The sequence below is a fragment of the Homo sapiens genome, chromosome 15 (assembly GCF_000001405.40).
Source record: "Homo sapiens chromosome 15, GRCh38.p14 Primary Assembly".
NCBI lineage: Eukaryota > Metazoa > Chordata > Mammalia > Primates > Hominidae > Homo > Homo sapiens.
In genome coordinates this window covers 26722001-26744945 of record NC_000015.10, presented here as the reverse complement: position 1 = coordinate 26744945, position 22945 = coordinate 26722001, and the positions used below count along the sequence as shown (strand labels likewise).

The 22945-nt window shown below is 42.5% G+C and overlaps 1 protein-coding gene across 3 annotated transcripts in view; it reads left to right on the top strand.

Annotated features, from left to right (window-relative positions):
* GABRB3 (gamma-aminobutyric acid type A receptor subunit beta3) overlaps nucleotides 1–22945 on the top strand; it is a 230212-nt gene that overhangs the window by 28818 nt on the left and 178449 nt on the right. The window lies entirely within an intron of this gene.

Below are 22945 nucleotides of genomic sequence, written 5' to 3'. Positions count from 1 at the left end.
ATTAAGCTTCTTTTCCTTATAAATTACCAAGTTTTAGGTATTTCTTTATAGCAATGCAAAAATGGTTTAATACACAAACACACACACGTATACACTTATATAAATAAATGTCAATAAGTAAAAATTTTCTTGAGGATATAACTTGAAAATTGAAAATATGATTTTTGATGTCGTGAGTTTGATACTGATTATTCAAGTTTTAATGAAAGTTTCTGTTATTGGTTGGGCACAGTGGCTCACACCTGTAATCCCAGCACTTTGGGAGGCCGAGGTGGGCAGATCACCTGAGGTCAGGAGTTAGAGACCAGCCTGGCCAACATGGTGAAACCTCGTCTCTACTAAAAATACAAAAATTAGCCAGGCATGGTGGCAGGCATCTGTAATCCCAGGTACTCGGGAAGCTGAAGCAGGAGAATTGCTTGAACCCAGGAGGCAGAGGTTGCAGTGAGCTGAGATGGCACCATTGCACCTCAGCCTGGGCAACAGAGCAAGACTCTGTCTCAAAAAAAAAAAGTTTTCTGTTATTGTTGATGAGTTAAGTTGAAAACGATTTCCACTGTAGTTATTAACTCTTTATTTCAATAAGGAAGCATAGTTTAAATTTTTAAAAATTACAAAACCAAAAGGCATGGGAGTTACAAAATTAGTTAAATGTTTATACAGCCTATCTAATTTTTTAAGTGAAATATCTGAGAATTTTCATGCTTGATTTTAATATCAAATTCAAATACTCAACCGCTGTGTCCTGAACCATGCCCAATTGCATGGATAAGAGCATGTAGATTGTGCTATTTTTATATGCGTCACTCAGAAAACCTCGCCCCGTGTAAAATTCCTTCTCTTTAGTTTGTGTGAAGCTTGGCTGGTGTTTTAGTGGGAGACACGATGTTGGTCACACTGGGAGGGGAATTAAGTACATAAGACTTTGTTTTGGGGTGAGTGGTCTCATTCTTTTTCCCTAGTTTCCTTCCCCATCAGTAAATGCATTCTCTTTCCTACTTAGCGGGGAGAGTTGAGAAAGAAGTTTGTTTTAGAGAAATCTGAAATGAGTTTCTTAGAGACGAGTGCTCAAAGCATACAAATTGCTGTTGATATTTGTGTGCATCTGCATTCATCTCTGGTGACCAATCTAATCACAGCTTGGAGTCAGTTGCTTGGTAGGAATGCAACTGGTGCAAGGTAAGTGTTCATAAAGAGAGGTGATCAGCAGATGGGGAAGACAGTCACTATAATGACAGAAAATGGCCTTTTCCTATTAAGGCTGTCGGATTACATTTTGCTGAGTAACAAAACATACAGAAAAACTAATGATGTTCACCTTCCCCACAATGTTGGATTTTCTTCACTCTGGCATAGACTGTCCATTGATCTAATGAAACCTTTATGTGAACACTTAGCTATACTCTGGCATTATTCTGACTTGAGAAATATTTACAATAATATATACCAGTAGCCAAAAGCCTACAATTTAGGGCAAGTTAAAGATTGTATGGTTAAATAACAACAGCCATCAGTCACAGTAGAACACTCAAAGAGACTAAGTAAATTGCTCCAAGGCATGTAGCCTTCGTGGAACTGGGATTCAACTCCTACCTGAAATCTTTCTCCTGCAGAGCTGAGGGGTGTGTTAGGGGCTGTGGGAAGAGTAGAGATGGGAGGCAGAAGAAAAGAGTATTGTCTATTTCATGTGTGCCATTTTCAAGGAGAAAACAAACTCCAGCTGGGCGCGGTGGCTCACACCTGTAATCCCAGCGCTTTGGGAGGCCGAGGCAGGTGGATCACGAGGTCAGGAGTTTGAGACCAGCCTGACCAACATGGTGAAACACCATCTCTACTAAAAATACAAAAATTGGCCTGGCGTGTTGGTGCGTGCCTGTAATCCCAGCTACTCAGGAGGCTGAGGCAGGAGAATCACTTGAACCCGGGAGGCGGAGGTTGCAGTGTGCTGAGATCCTACAACTGCACTCCCGCCTGGGCGCCATAGCGAGACTCTGTCTCAAAAAAAAAAAAAAAAAAAAAAAGAATCTCTAATGGCTAATGATAAGGTGAGGAGGCTTGTATAGATACTAGTCATTCCCAAATTAACATGTAAGATAAAATTCCAATTGGAATTATAACTTTTGGCAAGAACTTGATAAATTGATAAAGTTCATGTGACAGAATACATGGGTGAGAATAACAAAGTTTGGGAGAAAAAGATGAATTACAGGACTTTCCTTAAGCATTTAAAAAGCAGTTGGAAACGAGGGCAGGTCAGTCACAGCAAGATGATGTAGTGAATCAGTGGAAGAGAAAAGACAGTTCTGTAGCAGACACATTCATACATGGGGATTTAGACAGGTAATAAAGATGGTGCGTCAAGCCTTGGCAAAGGGATAGTCTACTTAAGGTGTTGGGTGAAAACATTAGACACAGTTTTCTATCTCATGCCACGTATGAAATATCTGATGGAGCAAAAGCTTGCGCATTTTAAAAGGACTTGGGAGAAAACATAAAGGAATATTTGGACCACATCTTGAATATAAGTTATAATCCTAGAGTAGGAGAGGCTTTTTTTTTTTTCAATACATCATAGACCAGAAACTAAAGAAGAACAGAGTTTAAACTAAAAATTGGGTAAAGAATGGATGGGACAATATTCACGCCAAAGGGTAAAGATCCAGTGCAGTAAAAGGACTCCCGGGCTTCAAAGACATCAGAGAGCCAGTCCTGGGAAGGACCCAAGAGGCAAACTCTAAGAGATACATGGATAGTGGTAATTGGGAGGCAGTCAGTATCAATGATATGCTTAGAGAGACATAAGGATAAGTCACTTTTCACCCAGCATTACTAAGGATATGGGAAAATGTGCTTCTGAAAAATGTCGTGTAGGAGTGCATAAGGGGCCAGTATAAAAAAAACCGCGTACTTTTAACCCAGAAATTGCATTGTGAGGATTTTCCTCCGAAAATATTTACATGATTGTTACAGAGATTCTAATTGCATCCTTTAGAACTGCAAATACTCATAGTAGGAAAGGCTGGTTAAATTAGCATAAATACTGTCAGACAATTGGGTAAAACTCTCCAAAGAGTGAGGAGGGCCAAGGCAGGAGCATCTCTTGAGACCAGGAGTTTGAGACCAGCCAGGGCAACATAGCGAGACCCCCATCTCTACAAAAAATTAAAAAGATTAGCAGACATAGTGGTGCATGCCTGTAGGCTCACCTACTCGGGAGGCTGAGGCAGGAGGATCCCTTGAGCCCAGGAGTTTGAGACTGCAGTGAGCTAGGATCCTGCCAGGGCACTCCAGCCTGGGGGACGGAGTGAGACCCTATCTCCAAAAAACAGACAAACGAAAATGAGGTGTATATACTCACATGATGCTGCAGTCATAAATATTTGCAAAACCAGCATACGTAGGATGGACATGAATTTAGAAATAAATGTATATAAACCGGAAGTGACCAAGAAGGGTGATGTGTTTAGTTCTTTTAGGAGGTGTCAGGGAGATGAAGTCATAGGTTGCTTACATGTATATGTGTATAAGATTGTCTTTTTAATGGAGATGGAGATACTGGACAGCAGACTGTGATGACTGTGATGGGTCTCGTCTGTCAGTGTCTGGTAATGGCACTGTGCCCATTGGAAAGGCTACCATGTTTATTTTCCTTTTTTTCTTCTCTGAAGAATATGTAGAAATCACTGAAAGCAACTATTCATCATATGATGGGGAACTCAATTCATATAAGGCTTCTGCATTTTCCACTCTGACCCTAAGCTTGGTACTTCAAGGGATGAAAGATTAAAAAGAAAAGGAAGTAACACCAGATAAAGTCCATATAGGAATTTTTTTGCTATGTGCTTGTATAAAGTACTGGTGTACACACACACACACACACACACACACACACACACACACTTATTCCTCCCTCGCCCATCCTGCCATTCTACAGGTGAGGAAATCGAGGCATTCTGTGAGTTCTCCTGGCCCATCTGAAATTCTGACTCAGAGTCGGCTCCGTGCTGCTCCCGCCATCTCCCCCTCCAAGTACTTCCAGCAGTGCTTGTGTGTGTTGGGGAACCTGGGAGGTGTCTTATGGCACATTGTGCACACCAGCAGACTCTGAGAGTGAATGAGTACATTCTTAGTACTCTGCTGGGACAAGCAGGAGTGGCCAAGGCTGTCCTGGACAACGTGGGGCCACCAAAACTGACCATCACGTTAGATGTGGCTCCTATTGCCTGATACTGTGAATGTGCTTCACAGCACAGATTAGGAAAAGTCCTGTGAGGATTCCAAGGAGGGAGAGCCAAGCCTCAGCTGTGGAGACAGGGAGGCTTCCTGGGGTGCCCACGGGACAGAGGGAGGTTGTCCTGGTCCCTTGGGTGCTCCAGAGGAGGAGGAGAGAAGACAGACCCAGTGAGTGGACCAGGTGCTTTCGGGCTGCAGTGGACCTCAGATGCAGGTGCTCCTTCAGCCATTTCTCCTGCCAGGAACACAGCCCAGTCCCCAGGTCCTCACTGCAGCGTCCTTGTCATCTGCTTGGCGGTATCCTTTGATCCTTGAAGAGCCAGCCTGTCTTCCCCCTCATAGTGAACCCCCTCTCCTATTCAGCCAGGGTGAATTGATCACTACTTCTACCCCATTGGGCCCCTGAGCCCTGCATTCACTTCAGCTGCACTTTTCACATTATCCTGAGTGTTGGCTCATTGGAGTGTGTCCCCTGTGGGCTTCCCGTTCCTACAGAACAGAGACACCAGCCTAGCTCCCCTACCTGCTCGCCAAGCCTAGCACCTGGCACACTGTGAGGATGGGGATGGTGGGGGGATCTCAAGTCACTTGGTCAGCCCTGGGAAGCTGCCGATTGTTGTTTCAGCAAGAGAGTGATGATACCCACACTGGCTTAGAGGAAGATCATTTTGTTGACACGTTGTTTAAAAGCAAGGGAGTCTTGGAGGCAGAGACAAATGAGCGGCTCGTGCAGGTGTCACGGCAGGAAGTGGAAAGGTCTCTGTTAAGAGGCTTGCTCTAGCAAATCTCTTGTGTGCAGCCCCTTTTGTTTTCTGAAGATAAGAATGGATTTTATCTTAACCCCATTATCCTGTTTTCTGTTTTATAAATTCTTTTCCTAGCATAAAGGAAAGATAAACGATGGATAGTCCAATTAAGAAAAGTGATGGATATTCCAATTATCCTGATTTGATTTGTACACATTATGTGAACATAACAAAATATCACATATATCCCCCCAAATATACACATCTATTATGTATCAATAAAAATCTTTTTCTAATAAATTTTCAAACTTCATTTTTCCAAATTTATAGTCTAGACACCTAGTATTTGCTATTTAGAAATACCTGGTCAATGAGAAAAGGAACGCTCACCCTGCCTGCCAAACCGGCCCCTCCTTGCATTGTGAATATTTGGTGTAGAAAGGTGAATTAATTAATGCATTAATTCACTCAGCAAATATTTACTGAACACCTGCTGATCCCTTCATAGATTTCTGTTTCCCAGCAACAGTATCGGACCAACCATTGGCTATAAACAAGTAGTTTTTGTCAACAAGGATAAAGCTGTCTGGATTTTTAGGGAAGTTAACTATTCCTTCTACTCGGCACTTCTGAAACAAGCAGAGACGAGAATAAGCTGCACACAGTGGTGTCTACTTGGCCAAGCGTCGCTGTTGTTTGAGAACAAGCTGGTGTGGGTTTCTGTAGACACTGACCTTACTGAGTGTGATGTAGGACGGCCAAGTGGAGCAGACAGGGCTGGGCTGGGCGAGGCTGGACAGAGGTGCCCTATCCGCCTCCCAGTGTCAGCTGTGCTAGGACTCCATGGAGCATCAGCACCAGGCAGTGATGAGCTGGGTCACTGCGGGCCACGGTGTCCCTTCTCTAAGCCCATATTTGAGCTCCTATCTTTGCAATTTATCTATCAGGGTTGTTGTTGGAATTAAATTAGACATATTGTTAGGAAAGAAAACTGCACGTGCTGAATACATCCTAGGTCTTTCTTCCCCTTTTTTTCTGTTTACCTCATCAAATGTGAAAAACCCACTTTCTCTTCCTCTGTTATGTAATTGTTTCTGTTTTATTAAGATATATGGCTAATTTCTCATGGATAAATGCATCTAACCCTCAGGCTGAGATAGCTCAGGGAGCCAGGGAATGTGGACAGAGAGTAAGCCCTGGTCCTCCTGGAAAGTGAGACTGAGCCTCTCTCCTGATTGCAGCAAAGTTACACGTTGTCTGGGACGGAATTCCAAGGTAGGATGGGAGGTGGTAACAACAGGTGCAGTTACAGAGGGAAGATAAGTACAAAGAAGGGGGTGAACAGGCAAGGGCGCCGTGAGAGTCAGTCCTTGCGGTTTGCAGTCTCAGTGTGTGAGAGTATTCACCACAAGCTTAGCTTTCCCTGCCAATGTATTGTATTGTTTATTGAGGTCCCTTTAAATAGTTTCAGCCAAAAAAAGGAATTATAATTCTCATAGAAGACAAGGAGACAGGGACAAAGGTTCTCTCAGGTGCAGCTGGTAGAAAGAGAAATCCGTCCTTTTTGTCAGTAAGCCCAAGACTGGACGGGTGCTGTGGCTCATGCCTGTAATCCCAGCATTTTGGGGGGCGGAGGCGGGTGGATCAACTGAGGTCAGGAGTTCTAGACCAGCCTGGCCAACATTGTGAAACCCCGTCTCTACTAAAAATACAAATATTAGCCAGGCATGGTGGCCGGTGCCTGTAGTCCCAGCTACGTGGGAGGCTGAGGCAGGAGAATTGCTGGAACTGGGGAGGTGGAGGTTGCAGTGAGCCGAGGTCACACCATTGCACTCCAGCCCAGGCGACAACTCCATCTCAAAAAACAAAACAACAACACGAAGAAGAACAACGACAACAAAAAAAACAAAACATAAGCCGAAGACTCTTCAAAAAGTCGATAAATTTTGCCTAGTAATTTCTCTTCCAGCAATCAACCACACAGAAACATTCAGGAACTTAGACAAGGACTCGTGCCCCATTGTAGTTTTAGTAGCAAGAAAGGAGAAACAAACTCAGTGTCCAGTGAGTAATTGTATATTGAAACGATAGAATATTACACAGCAATAAAAATTCATGTCTTCAGAACTATTTCCTTATGGGAGAATGTTTATATAACATTAAGTAAAAAAGTATGATATGAAAGTGTATGAACAGAATGATCCCCTAGTGTGTGTATATATAAGAACTGGGCTGGACAGTGGTACCCTGTCCACATCCCAGGGTCAGCTCTTGTATATATAAAAGAGTTGATTTTATTTTAACCCCATTATCCCCTTTTGTACACACGCACACACACACACACACACATTGTAGTAAATTAAAATATTGACTTTCCACCTGGATAGATTACAGGAAGTTCTTTTGGTTTATTCTGTGTACTTCTTTATTATTTTTCAAATGTTCTATCTTCTACCCTCTGTTTTTCCCGCCCCTGTCCTAAAGACATTCATTGAGCACATACACATAGCAGGGGCCTGAGGACTGACAGGAAGAGTCTCTTTCCATTGTCCTGCAACATTCATCTTTAGTTTCAGTTTTTATCTTGGTGAAAATGTTTTCATTTATATAGTCAAAGAAACAAAACGCACCTGATTTCAAATCACTTTGGTGGTTGACTGTGCAGTCCTCTTGTTTTCCATGCTCAGTCTTGTTTTGTACAGTGAGTTCTTCCTTCCCTGGGCTATCGAGTCATCACTGCTTTTGAGGTCCCAGCCTTTTGAAGCATGCACCAGAATCACACAGACAGGGACCACTTTTCCAGTCAGATATCTCACTAGCAAATCACAGAGGGGGCAAGCTCCAGTGGCCTCAGCCGTGTTCTCTGGAACAGACCTAGAGAGTTTCTCTCATTGCGACAGCACTTTAGAGGGCGGTGGTGTCCCTGGAGGCCTGGTGGTGCCACAGGAGGCTAAGAGGGAAAATCAAGGACGTTAAACCCAAAAGGACAAGGCTGTGCTTTGCCAGCTGCCCTCCTTAGTGGAAAATGCACTCTTTGCAGACCTAACCTGGGAAGTGCCGGTGACTTTTGCATCAAAGTCAAAGGATGTTCTCATTCACCCAGCAGCTTCAGACCCCTTTGGCCCTCTCCCTGTCCAGGCCTGTGGCCATTGAGTTATGGGTTCATTCAGTCAGTGTTCCCTGAGGATTTGCTACCTGCCTATCCTCACAAGAACCCACATTGTGTGATGTGCAAATGGAACACATTCTAGCGAATTCCTTTCTTAGGTCACAAAGCTACCCTATGCTCCAGATCCACTGTCCTGCAGCACCCCACCCTATGGAAGTTGGAATGCTGGCCTCTCCTGCGGGAGCTGGGCCTCCTCCCTGCTGCCCCGGCTCACTGCCGAGGGGCAGCTCACAGAGTGACATTGCAATATGCTTTCCTCAAACTCCGGATTGAAGTTGCCTGATACAAACATTTAGCAAACAATTTCAGAAGGAGTACTTCTCAAGACAGCAATTTCTGTCATGTTTTATTATTTCCTTCCCTGTAAACTGTTAACCATTTACCTCAGGTTAAAATGAAGCACAAGTTATGCCTTATAATTTTATCATGTTATTGAATAGTGTATTTCTTGTCTGCTTTATACTAATGGGAAAGTAACTGTATGTGATTCTGCCAATGATAGTGCCTTATGTAAGTAGCTTATTTAAAAAATTATTTATTTATTTTTATTGAGGTAAAATACATAAAATTTACCATCTTGACCATTTTAAAGTGCACAGGTTAGTTGCATTAAATGCATTTGCACTTTTGTGCAATAATTGCCACTATCCTTCTCCATAATGCTTTTCAGCTTGTAAAACTGAAACTGTGTACATTAAATAGTAACTCTGCACACCTCTCCCCTCAGTCCCTAGCAGCCATCACCTTACTTTCTGTCTCTGTGATTTTTACTGTCTAGGATCTCATATAAATGGAATTATATAGGATATGTGTTTTTAGAACTGGCTTTTTTTTTTTTTTTTGAAGACAAGGTCTCTCTCTGTTGCCCAGGCTGGAGTGCAGTGATACGGTCATAGCTCACTGCAGCCTCAACCTCCTGGGCTCAAGTGATCCTCCTGCTTCAGCCTCTGAAGTAGCTGGGACCACAGTCATGTGCCACCATCCCCCACTAATTTTTTATTTTTACTTTTTTGTGGAAATGGGGTCTCCCTATATTGCCCAGGCTGGTCTCAAACTTTTGGGCTCAAGCGATCCTTTTGCCTTGACCTCCCAAAGTGCTGGGGTTACAGACATGAGCCACTGGGCCTAGCATGACTGGCTTCTTTCACTTAGAATAATGGCCTCAAGGTTTATCCACATTGTAGCTTGTGCCAGAATTTCCTTCCAGCTTAAGGCTGACTAATATTCCCTTCTATAGATATACCACAATTTGTTTATCCACTCATCTGTGGATGGATTCCTGGGTCACTTCTACATTTTAGCTATTGTAAATAATGCTGCTATGAACATGGGTGTACAACTATCTTTTTGCAAACTTGCTTCCGATTCTTTTGGGTGGGATTCCCAGAAGTGGAGTTGCTGCAGTTTTATCCAGAAGTGGAACTGCTACCTCATATGGTAATTCTATTTTTAATTTCTTTATAAAGGCCACACTGTTTTCCATATTGGCTATACCATTTTACATTCCCATCAACAGTGCATAAGCATTCCAATTTCTTCACATCCCGATCAACACTTGTTATTTTCTCTTTGTTTGTTAGTAGCCATTCTGTTGGGTATGAGGTAGTATTTCATTGTGGTTTTGATTTGTAGTCCCCTAATGATGAATGAAATTGAGCATCTTTTCATGTGCTTATTCGCCATTTGTGTATCTTCTTTGGAAAAATGCTTGTTTATGTCTGTTGTTCATTTTTGAAATGGGTTGTTTTTTGTTGTTGAGTTGTAGGAGTTTTCTATATATTCTGGATATCAATCCTTTATCAGATATATGACTTGCAAACATTTTCTCCCATTTTGTGGGTTGCCTGTTTACTCTACTGATAGGGTTTTGTTTTGTTTTGTTTTGACTGGTTCTTGCTGTGTCGTACAGGCTGGAGTGCAGTGGCACAATCACAGCTCACTGCAGCCTCAACTTCCCAGGCTCAAGCCATCCTCCCATGTAGTTGGGACCACAGGTACACACCACCACTCCAAGATAAATTTTTTAGAGATGGGGTCTTGCTGTGTTGCCCAGGCTGGTTTTGAACTCCTGGATTTAAGCAATCCTCCTCCCTTGGCTTCCCAAAGTGTTGGGATTACTGGTATGAGCCACTACACCAGGCTTTTTTTTTTTTTTTTTTGAGACTCACCCTGTTGCCCAGGCTGGAGTGCAGTGGTGTGACCATTGTTCATTGTATCCTTAAACTCCTAGGCTCAAGTAGTCCTCCAGCCCCAGTCTCCCAAAGTCCTGAGATTGCAGGCATGAGCCACCTCACCCAGCCAGATAGTGTTTTCTGACATGCAATGTTTTAAAATTTTGATTACATTCAGTTTGTCTGTTTTTTTCTTTTGTTGCCTGTGCCTTTGATGTCATATCCAGGAAGTCACTGCTAAATACAATGTTGTGAAGATTTTGCCCTGTGTTTTCTTCTAAGAGTCCTATAGTTTTGTCCAGGTATGGTGGCTCATGCCTGTAATCCCAGGACTTTGGGAGGCCGAGGCAGGCGGATCACCTGAGGTCGGGAGTTCAAGACCAGCCTGACCAACGTGAAGAAACCCCATCTGTACTAAAAACACAAAAAATTAGCTGGGTGTGATGGTGCATGCCTGTAATCCCAGCTACTCGAGATACTGAGGTAGGAGAATTGCTTGAACCCAGGAGGCGGAGGTTGTGTTGAGGCGAGATCATGCCATTGCACTCCAGCCTGGGCAACAAGAGCAAAACTCTGCCTCAAAAAAAAAAAAAAAAAAAAAAAGCCCTATAGTTTTAGGGCTTACATTTAGGTTTTTTACCTATTTTGAGTTAATTTTTGTATATGGTGTTAGATAAAGGTCCACCTTCATTCTTTTGCATGTGGATATCTGGCTTATCCAGTAACATTTGTTCAAAAGACTGTCCTTTCCCTATTGAACAGTCTTGACTCCCTTGTCAAAAGTCATTTGTTCATATATTCCAGCATTTATTTCTGAGGCCTCTATTCTATTCCACTGGTCTGATCTGTGTGTCTGTGTTTACATCAATGCCATATTGTTTTGATTACTGTTGCTTTGTAGTAAGTTTTGAAATCAGGAAGTGTGAGTGCTCAAGCTTTGTTCTTTTTCAAAATTGTTTTGGCTATTAGGGATTCCATATGAATTTTATGATGGGCCTTTCTTTTTCTGCATAAAACATCAATGGGTTTTAGAATTGTATTTAATCTGTAGATCACTTTGTAGTATTGTCATCTTAATGTTAAGTCTTCAAAATCATGGACTTTGTTTTCATTTATTTATGTCTTTATAGTCTTTTAGCAGTATTTCATAGTTTTTATTGTACATGTCTTTCACCTCCTTGGTTAATGCCTAAGTATTATTATTTTTTATTGTATCATGAATAAAATTATTTCTGTAACTTTCTTTTCAGGTTGCTCATTGTTACAATATAGAAATACAGGTAATTTTTGTGTGTTGACTTTGTATCCTGCTACTTGGCTTAATTTATATCTATTAGCTATAACAATTTGTGTGTGTGTATGTGTGTGTAGTATGTATTTTCTACATAAAATATCATATCATCCATAAAGGGAGAGAATTTTACTTTTTTCTTTCCAATTTGAATGCCCTTTATTTATTTTTCTTGTCTAATTGCTGTGGCTAGAACTTCCAGTACTATGTTGAATAGAAGAGGAAACAGCAGGCCTTCTTGCCTCGTTCCTGATCTTAGAAGAAAAATTCAGTTTTTCAGCATTGAGTGTGATGTTCACTGTGAGTTTTTCATATATGGCTTTTTTTTTTTTCTATTAGAGACAAGGTCTTACTCTGTCACTCAGGCTGGAGTGCAGTGGCACAATCATAGCTCACTGAAGCCTCAAACTCCCGGGCTCAAGGAATCCTCCTATCTTAGCCTCCAGAGTAGCTGGGATGACAGGCACATACCACCACTCCCGGCTAATTAAAAAAAAGAATTGTATTTTAGTAGAGATGGGGTTTCATCATTTTGGCCAGGATGGTCTTGATCTCCTGACCTCGCGATCCACCTGCCTCGGCCTCCCAAAGTCCTGGGATTACAGCTGGCCACGGTAGCGCGTGCCTGTTATCCCAGCTACTCAGCGGGCTGAGGCAGGGGAATTGCTTGTACCTGGGAGGTGGAGGTTGCAGTGAGTCGAGATAGTGCCACTGCACTCCAGCCTGGCAACAGAGCAAGACTCCATCTCAAAAAAAAAAAAAAATTTTTTTGGGAGAAAGGGGTCTCACTATGTTGCTCAGGCTGGTCTTGAAATCCTGGTCTCAAACAATTTTCCCATCTCTGCCTCCCAAAATGTTGTTCCCTGTTTTTTAAGAATCTTTAAACATGATGGAAGTTTTTGTGTTAATGGATAATCATACTGGAAATTGGACTGTAAGAAGAAGTGTGATTCATAGATGTGCTGTTTATTTATCTCTCTATCTACTCATCTGTCCGTCCATCCATCCATCCATCCATCCATCCATCCATCCATCCATCCATCTATCCATCCATCTATTCATCCATCCATCCATCCATCTATTCATCCATCCATCCATCTGTCCACCCATCCATCCATTCATCCATCCATCCACCCATCCATCTATACATTCATCCACCCATCCATTGATCCATCCATCCATCCTTCCATCCATCCATCCATCTGTCCATCTGTCTGTCCATCCATCTATCCATCATCTATCCATCCATCCACCCATGCACCCTTCCACTCATCCGTCCACCTGTCCATCCATCCATCCGCCCATCCATCCATCCAACCATCTGTCCATCTGTCCACGCGTCCATCTGTCCATCCATCTGGCTATCATCAATTCACCTATCTGTGAGAAGCTGGTCTTATCTAATCAAATTTTATACTGACTTTGTTACCAGGAAATAAACATCAGTACCCAGATATCATTAAATCTTCATTTTAGCCACATTTACCTTGTTGAAGAGGTAAAGGTTGTTTTGTTATCTTTTTAAAAACACCGCTAAATGGTATGCAGGATCTGCTTTTTCGTGTTCACAACTCTGCTGTGCATGTCTGCTATGTTTGTTTGTTTACTGAATTTTGGCATAAACCATTTGCAGTTAGTATCAGTGTGTGCAACATTACATGCAGAAATAAAAATGCAGAGTGTGAGAATATGAATATGGCAGGGAGGGAAGGCCATTATCTTATAAACTCTAATCTCCTGGTTGAGCTGAATTTCAAAGGAGGGAGCAAAAATAGGTCTCCTGCTGGCCTGCATCCCCCACTGGCATATCTGTGTGGGTGTATGTCTACTCTACTTTCCATGTGGGTACCAGAAAGAACCACTGAGGTGCAACCTCCTCTGTATGGACTCCAAAGTGAGGTCCATGGAGCTGGCAAAGCCTCAAAAAGGTTTTATTCAACTCAAGAATTCAACAAGGATATGATTCTGGCAAGAACTGTATACAATGAAAAGTAACTGCCTCCCTGGTGGGAAGCAGTCTTTTGAAAACCTCAGTTAAAATGCTCATTGTAGTAAGTATGTATGTCTGCTGGTTTTCTTCATGATGTTTATTTTTGTTATACTGTTGTTTGGTGATTTCTTTCATTATTTTATTTAATAGGTCACAGGTGTTCTATAAAGTGATCTCATTTTTAAAACAGAACTGTGAGATCAATGTCAATTATAATCTTTGTATGAAAATAGTCATTGATTTGTTGAAAATATTAATAGAGAGAGAGAGAGAGAGCGAGAGCGAGTGAGAGAGCCTGCATCATTAATACTGGTGTTGCTGAAAATAAGACTTCGCAGCAGTGGCTGAAAAGATCACACCTGTAAGGTTAAATGTTGAACCCAAATTATATTCATTATTGCTTGATAAAAGTAATCTGTTAGCTTCTATTATAAGTGCTGCATATGTGTGAGTTCATTTGCTGCTTACAATGCTCCTATGAGAAAAGTATTTCACTCTTAACCCTGTTTTACATATGAGGAAACTGAAGTGTATTTGGATTGAGCAATTCGTGCGATATGGCATAACCAGCAAAAAACAGATGGAGGATTTAAGCTTGGACATCTGGCACTGACTTTCGTTCCTATCTTCTCTATTATACTACTTTTCATTAGGTCATTCATTAATATAGATACCAAACCTAGAAAAAAGTCCAAAATGGTAAAATGACTTTAAGATGTAAAGGAAGAATAATGGTCCTAAGGACCCAGCCCCACCCTGGCCATTCACTCTGTGGCCCTGGGCTGAGGGCTCTGGCCTCTTCAGCTCCTCTTCTTTCTCTCCACAATGGGACGTGACCGCATTCATCCGCACGGGGGGTGGTGAGGTGCCTGTGCACCGGGAAACTGTTGTTTCATCCTGTAAGTCTTTTTTTTTTTTTTTTTTTTTTGAGACGGAGTCTCGCTCTGTCGCCCAGGCTGGAGTGCAGTGGCGCGATCTCGGCTCACTGCAAGCTCCGCCTCCCGGGTTCACGCCATTCTCCTGCCTCAGCCTCCCGAGTAGCTGGGACTACAGGCGCCCGCTACCACGCCCGGCTATTCATCCTGTAAGTCTTATTGCCCTGGTCTTATTCAATTAATCCAGGGGCAACAGGGCTTCAGGAAATGGGATATAACCAACAGAAGAATGATACATTTTCTCCACTTGGACTGTAAGAACAAATATTTGCTAGATGTCTCAGGAATTTAGAATATTTGAAAGCCAGGTTTCTTCTAAATTTCTTTTGTGTATATTGGTGTTCTTCCTGTAAGTATAGAGATGATATTGCTTCTGCCTGACACGGCCAGGCCATTTATGAGTTCAGCATTCATTTGACAATATTTAATGCATATCTCTTATGCACCTAACTTGGTTCTAGGTACTGAGGTTACATCAGGGAATAGAATGAAGCCTCTGCCATGCTGGGGCAGATGTTCTGTAGAGAGAGACAGACTACAAACAAACATGCAAGTAAACATCTATTGTGTTGGATGGTAGTGTGTGCTGTTGGGCATGGCAGAGCCTGGCAGGTAGGGAGTGCAGGGAAGGCCCTGCTGCTTGGGTGGAATCTGAGCATGCACCTGGAGGAAGTGAAGGAGCCTGCTGGGGGCATAGGGAACAGATGGTGTGAACCTTTCTGCCCTGAAAAAGTAAAGCATGAACTGATCTATTTTTGGCTCAAGAAGTTATAGGGAGAAGTGAGATTTTGTTCCCCACCCTCCACATCCACAGAGAATTTGGGGGCCTGATCCATGGAGGCTTTAGAAATACCCAGATTAACTTAAAGGCTTCTTCTGCAGGGGTTGTGTGCAAAGTCTGCAGGCCTCCTAAAAGGCTAGCCATTAGCTTGGCGCTTTTGTCCAGTGTGCTGTGCGGAGGATGATGGAGAGGTGGCAGTCAGTGGCTGGATCAGTAAAGGCACCAGAGTCCTCCCCAGCCTTCTTGGGTTCAGGAGCCTCCAAGGAGGGGGAAGGTGGAGGGGACAGCTTCTGGGGAGGGATGGTGGGTCAGTCTGCCAGACTAAAGCTGTAGGTTTATTACCTACATGTCACTCCCGAGGGCCAGTCGGAGGCAGTGTTGCTCAGTGTTCTCCAGGGTGGGGAGCTGAGCAGTCTGAATACACTGTGCAGCGGGACCACTGAGAACACAGAGGCCCCCGGCCCCTTGCCCAGACCTCTTTCCTGCTGCAAGATCAGCAGATGCCCACTTGCAGAGGCGTGGGGGAAAGCAAGTGAGATCTGAATGATAAATATATTTTTAAAACAGGTGAAGTATCTTTCTTATAAGTTACTAAGTCAGACTTAAGTCAGACTTGACTCACGTATACTCAGTATAAGGGTGTTTCTGTTATGCCACCAAAACCCGGACCTTCTTGAGGAAAATTGCATCAGGAAGCTACATTTTCATTGCACATTTTAGTGTTGTGTGAGCAAATTTATGTAACCATATGCATTTAAATTGCTTAGCACAAAGCTTTGCCTATATAAGGGATGAAATAAAAGCCAGCTGCTGGTATATGAGCTGATAAATCTAGACAGGACCAGAGATCTTTTGGAAAATAACATACAGGTAACAACATGAGAGTCCTTTGAGTTTGAAAGTCTGAGGAAAGTCCTAGAGCAAATACGTCATGAAAGATGAAATACGTTAATGATGACTGCATAGAATACCACTACCAGAGCTTTTTGAAAAGGCACTTTAAGTGTATCTCTCCATTATGAATATTTTGTGTTGGCAGCGTGTGCTGTGTGGCCTGCTCACCATATCCATGGTATTTTCTCCCTTGGGCCTGGAGCTAGCCCACCCTTCCCAGTATCTATTGTAGTTAGATGAGACCTCGGGCTTGAATTTCAGCAGAAGTGATGTGCATCCTTATAGTCACTGCCTCCACTCCAGCACGCGGTGTTTATTTTCCATGAAGACTCTGTGCGTGCTGGACTGGAGGCAGTCCCTGGGCCAACCATGGAGGGCAGGTGCTGAAGACAACAGAGTCTCCATATGTGTGGGAACCAGAATACATGGAGGGGACACTTTGCTCATTTGTTTCCCCTGTCTAGTGCTGTTACAGAGGGAAGATTTAAACTTTGATGGTGTTTGGGGTTTTGGTCTCATTGATACAGTTGTGAGCCTCACCTAGTAGAATGAGGTATCATAAGCCATTTGACAGAGAATCCCTCAGTTGTTTCCCTGGAGGAATGTCTCACTTCCTGTTTAAATGTTACCTTTAGATGCAGTGTATCTGGATGGTCTGGGATGGGCAGAATCAAGAATCAATGTAGGTAACTTTGAAAAACAGTCTTTTGACCATTGACTAGAAGGGAATAACAGCTCCTCTCAAGTATTGTATTCTAGTTAGTAAGGATTTTAGTTTCTCTCAGGGGTACGTGATAGAATTTCTGAAATTATCTGTATTCTAGATGTGAGTAAATAAGTGGGTATATTCAATAATAAAAGCAAGTTTCTCATTGTCTAAGAAAAGAGTGATAAACAAGGAAACAAGTAAGGCTTGTATGAACCTTGTGATGTTGAATTGGAATCAGTGGTATTGGTATGAACACATGAGGTCATGATATATATGCAGAGAGAGATAGAGAAATGGATGTGGCTGTGTGTAAATGGACTCAGAGGTCCCAGCTCTGGCTACAGCGATGGCTGAGAAGCAGTGTCATTTGAGCATACCTGGCTTCCTGATCTTGGTTTCTAATATCCTCCAATAAACTGAATCAGGGCTTCTAGGAGCAATCCCTGATTTCAAGGCTGGGGTAGGGAAAGTGCTAGGTAAGCTTAGGTGAGCATTTAGTATCAGAAAGTAAGAAAGTGCTTACAAATGTTGGGAGTCTATTGAAACAGCATAGAACAGAATTGAAGGGTCTCCTGATGGCCAAATCGGGGGCAATTTGAGCAACAAAATAATGACATCATTTTGTACTAAAACCTATAGAATAAAAGTATTCCATAGAATAAACTATCCATGAGTCCACACTGATACAATACATAATTAAATAGATATATACATAAGTAAATACCTAAGGAAGGAGGGACATGTCTTCCTTACTGTAGAGGTTGATGGAATTAGACAGTCGTCATTCGACAGGAATCATAATAACCAAAATTTCAGGTGAGAGTCATTAGTACATGCTAAAACTGGTGAGTGATTTTTCTTTTTTCCTGAGACCGAGTCTTGTTCTGTTGCCCAGGCTGGAGTGCAGTGGCACGATCTCAACTCACTGCAACCTCCACCTCCTAGGTTCAATCAATTCTCCTGCCTCAGCCTCCCTAGTAGCTGGGATTACAGGTGCATGTGATCACACCCAGCTAATATTTGTATTTTTAGTAGAGATGAGGTTTCACCATGTTGGTCAGGCTGGTCTCGAACTCCTGACCTCATGATCCGCCTGCCTCGGTCTCCCAAAGTGCTGGGACTACAGGTGTGAGCCACCGCTCCTGGGTGTGAAATTTTAATGAGAAATAAAATACCTGCACAATCTCAAGGTATCTCCCCACATAATGCCTCTTAATTGCGAAAGGAAAAGCAAAACAGTGACTTTACAGTGTAGAAACCCAGCAGATACCAGCTTGACCAAGTGGTAAAAGTTAACCTTGCTGACAGTGGCACAAAGAGACATCGTGTCCCTCCTTGTATGATCACCAAGAAGGGCACAGCATCACCTCTATGACATATTTGCCAAAAATATGTAACTTGAATTGAATCACGAGGAAACATCAGGCTATCCTAAATTGCAGACATTCTATAGGATACCTTGTCGGAACTCCTCAGTGGTGTCAAGATCATGAAAGACAAAGACAGATTGAGGAAGTGTCCAAACTTCTAGAAGACTGCTAAATGCAATGTCCATTCCTTGTTTGGAACCGGGTCCAGAAAGGAACTAACGTGGAACTATCAGTGACATTCAAATAAGACTTGTGAATTAGTTAATATGAGACCATTGTTGATGTCCTGGTTTTGATCATTTTACTGCAGTTATGTAAGATGTTAACATTTGAAGAAGCTAGACTAATGGTATATGGGATATCTTTACACAGGTTGAGCATCCCTAATCCAAAAATCCAAAATTTAAAATGTTCCAAAATCTGAAACATTTTTAGTGCTGACATGATACCAACAAGTGGAAAATTTCACATCTGACCTCATGTGATGGGCTGCAGTCAAAATGCAGGCACACAATGTACAGTTCAGTATCCCCAAGGGAAAAAACGACCCTCCCAGCTCCCTCCAGCTGTGATATGTCTTTTGTGCGCATGCCCAGCACACCCAGATTTCCCCCATAGTAGCACACCCACAATGAGGAGTAAAATGACACATGTGCAGGCTGGACATGCCAAAGCAGGTTCCCACATGGGACCAAGACTCATGAGCATTACTCACTGTGTTTTTTGGTGGTGATGCTGAACAACCACAGATTGTCTACATGGGTGGCTGAGATAGTGACACCTTTGATTTTTGATGGTTCAACATATGCAAACTTTGTTTCATGCACAAAATTATTAAATATTAAAAATGTTATACATGATTGCCTTCAGGCTATGTGTATAAGTTGTATATGAAACATAAATGAATTTCATGCTTAGACTTGGGTCCCATCCCCAGGATATCTCATTATATATTTGCAGATATCCTCAAATATGAAAAAAACTCCAAATTTGAAACTCTTATGGTCTCAAACATTTTGAATAAGGGATAGTCAACTTGTTCTAGATTTGCAACATTTTCAAAAGTTTGAAATCATTTCAAAGTGCAGAATTAAAAATTAAAGAATTTAGAAGTAATTTGCATGTAAGCATCATTACCAGCTACTTACTATGAGGTCAAGGTTCATAGCAAGTAACATTGGCGCTTTTGTCCAATGTGGTGTGTGGAGGATGATGCAGAGGTGGCAGTCAGTGGGTGGATCAATAAGGGCACCACAGTCCTCCCCAGCCTTCTTAGATCATGTGCCTCTGAGGAGGGGAAGGTGGAGGGGACAGCTTCTGGGGAGGGATGGTGGAATTATAAACTTATTTAAAGACTGTGCATCAGCCTGAAAAGACACCTGAAGTTACAGCTACTTAGTACCTTCCCAGAAAAATATTCAGTCAGTTGAAACTCCTCACAAGGCTATGAAAATCCAGACCTTTGTGTGTATGTTTGAGGGAATAAGGCACCTTTTCCTAAGAACCAATTCATTCTACAGATACCTGTAGCATGAGCTATGTACAAGGAGGGGCACTGTGATGGGGGGACAGCAGTTAATTAGAAATGGCATTGTGTTCAAGAAAGTGACACTATACCAATTGCCTTTGACAAGTCATGGCCAACATTCACATAGTGTATTGTGAGCTCCATGGGCTGTGTCAACTGAAGAATGTCAAGGGTCATAAATTTGGAAAGGGGAGCTTTATTTCTCATAAAGGGTTGCAGCCTGCATGGCCATTCTGATAGGCTGGGAAGTGTAGCCTCCCATTAGAAGCTGGAAACAGATACTTTGAGGGGGGGCAAAGGGAACAAGAATTTATGCAGACTGGGGTGGCTAAATATGCATATTTAATACACTGTAGGAGGAGTCATGAATATTTATGAAGGAAGAAAGGAGAACCATGCACATGTGCAGTTAGTCTCATGCCTCTCCATGGGACCTATGTTTAACAATCTGTGGTGTTATCATCTGAGGGTGGAGTTTTCAGCCCTCTGACATCAAAAGGTGAAGCAGAGGATGCATTACCCCTCACTGTACATCTGCTGTAGACTGGCGCCAACCACTCCATGGTTGGTGGTCTCTTATCAGGAAAGAATGCTGGTTGGTTATTTTGCTGAAATTGTACAAGCAAGAGGCAGCCTCAGACAGTTGGTTGCTATCGGTGGAGTCTTTCAAAAGGGCTGGTTTCTGTTTAGCCCCTGGGAAGAAAGGTGGTTAGCAAGGGAAAGGATATATAATGAGGCATTTCTGACCTTGCATCCCATAATGGCCAAGAACTCAGCTTCCAAAATTTCCCTAGGGAATTCTTGGCCAAGAGGGGGGTTCATTCAACTGGTTGGGGGTTTTAGGGTTTCATTTTTATTTCTCAGCTGTGATGGCCCAGGAGGAGAGAGGATCCACTGATACTGTTAGATTTATGTGACATGGAGGAGAAAAGAAGAGTTTCAGAACAAGTGACATTTCTAGAAGATGGGCAGAATGTTCCCTGGCAGAAGAGTGTTGTGGGTGAAGAGCTCTGCATAAGTAACAAAAAATGAATATGAAAAGCTTAGCTTGTGAACCAGGAGAGCAGAGTGATGTACACGTGGACTGTAGCAGCCAATGAAATGTGGGAAACAACACCAAAAAGGAATCTGTCCACATTATGAGGTTCCCTGCTGAGGAATGTGCCCATTCCTTGGGGCTAGCCAATTACCATTCTTGTTTATGACATTTTTTTTTTCTCACAGAAAAGGAAGTCAGGGAACACTGGTACAATTGGTTTACATCACGTGTCTGATAAGTTTTTCTTTGTGAAAAAACAGTGGAGCCTAGGAATCGTGGCCTTGGTTTGCCTCATGGATAATCAGAGAGAAATGTGGTAGGCAGTGATATCCTCATTCACAAAACAAGTATTTCTGTTTACCTATGTGTTCCTCACGTTCCTGGTGACCTATATTATTTTCTGAGTTGAAACATACAGGTTTCCAACGGACAGAGTCAGTGAACTAGAACTTCTAGGAGAATTCATTGGGACAATGACCATGGCTGGGAGGTCAGGTGTGTCCCCTCCAGGCTGCACTTCCCACCCATGGGTGCTCAACACTGTGTCTGCAGGCAGAAGCACATTCTATCTTCATATCTGTGAAGATAATTATTTGCTTAAATTAAATGTGGGTAGTTCATTCTTTGCAAAATTATAGCTGATGAATGCCAAAATGTAGGATTTCTTAGTGTGAAAATAACTACCCTAGGTAGGGAGGGGTTATATTCCAAGATAGTTCCACACTTATCAGGATGTGGAATTAGAAAGAATGCCTTCAGCAAAGCAGAATACAACATTCAAAAGACTCAAATTATTTTCACATAGGAAAAGTTAAAAGATGGGTATAACTTGTTCAAAGCACACATAATTTTATATTGTGACCTTGTAAAGACTCTAATGATAAAATTAGTTTGACAGATGTCTTCTGCAAATGGAGTGGAATTTTTCTATGATTTTTTTCCTCTGATTTGTGTAAACTTCAGGACCTCTACCCTTACCCCTTTATTAATGTGCTTACCATGATTGCAGAACTTGGAATCTTCTCAATGGAAGAAAAGAGGCCCTTTTGAGTGACATTTTGGAAGCTACTCTGAATGTCTTAAGGTTGAGAGCTTTCGTATTATTATTAAAATGAAATCACTCTCCTGGGAAATGAATGATACAATCTAACATAGTGTGAAGCTGATAGGTCCCTGAGGCAAAGCAGTGGGCAGGGAGAGGCAGTCACAGTTGCAGCTGAGCAGAGGCACCCAGTGGGAGAGCAGGGCTTGGCTATGGCACGGGGAGCCAGAACGAGGAAGCCCAGCCCTCGGATCCAGTGACTCACATCTGAAGGAACAGAAAGAGTGTTATGGGAGGAGTCAGAAAACCCTGATTTCTGTGACTGCTTCCCGGGCCAGCCATGGTATTCCTGAATGAATGCCTTTGCCTTGGGCCTTGGTTTCCCTATCTATAAAGTCAAAAGTGTTGCCAAGAAGATACTTAGGGACGACAATGCTGCCAAGCTTGAAATTCTGTCAGATTACGAGGACTGAATATTAACGTAAAGTTCAGTGAATAAATTGCCTTAGAATTTCCCCCTTCAACTGCAGCCACAAAGAAGAAATGAAGGTGAGAAGCCAGTTTTGATTTTCACAGCACGTCATGTGGTTTGTTTTCCATCTGAGTGCCTATGTCGCCAAGACCCTAATTGGCCCAGAAGAATAAACAACTGGAGGGCCTCAGTGTTTGTGAAATGTTTTAGTCCTGCATTCTCAAATTCTCTCTCTTATAAACAAGCAACCCAAACAGCCGTCCAGAGATCTTGGTCATTTGCTGCTCAGGTCTCCTCCCTTTCGTGAGATAGTTTGGCAATTCCCGAAACCATCTTACAACGAATCCTGATAACTCATGCTCCACCCCAGCCCAACTGAAGCTCTCCGGGTTGTTCTAATGAGCAACCCTTGTTGAGGACCTAGATGGGGCAAACTATATCTGAGCAAAGAGAAAAGAAGGAAATTAGGTGAGGTAAGCTAAGATTTATTGCATGGAACCTGCATCTACTGGGGCTCATTAAAAAAAATGGATTGCATTTCAATTTAAAGAATGTAAAACTTTTTTCTTAGCAAT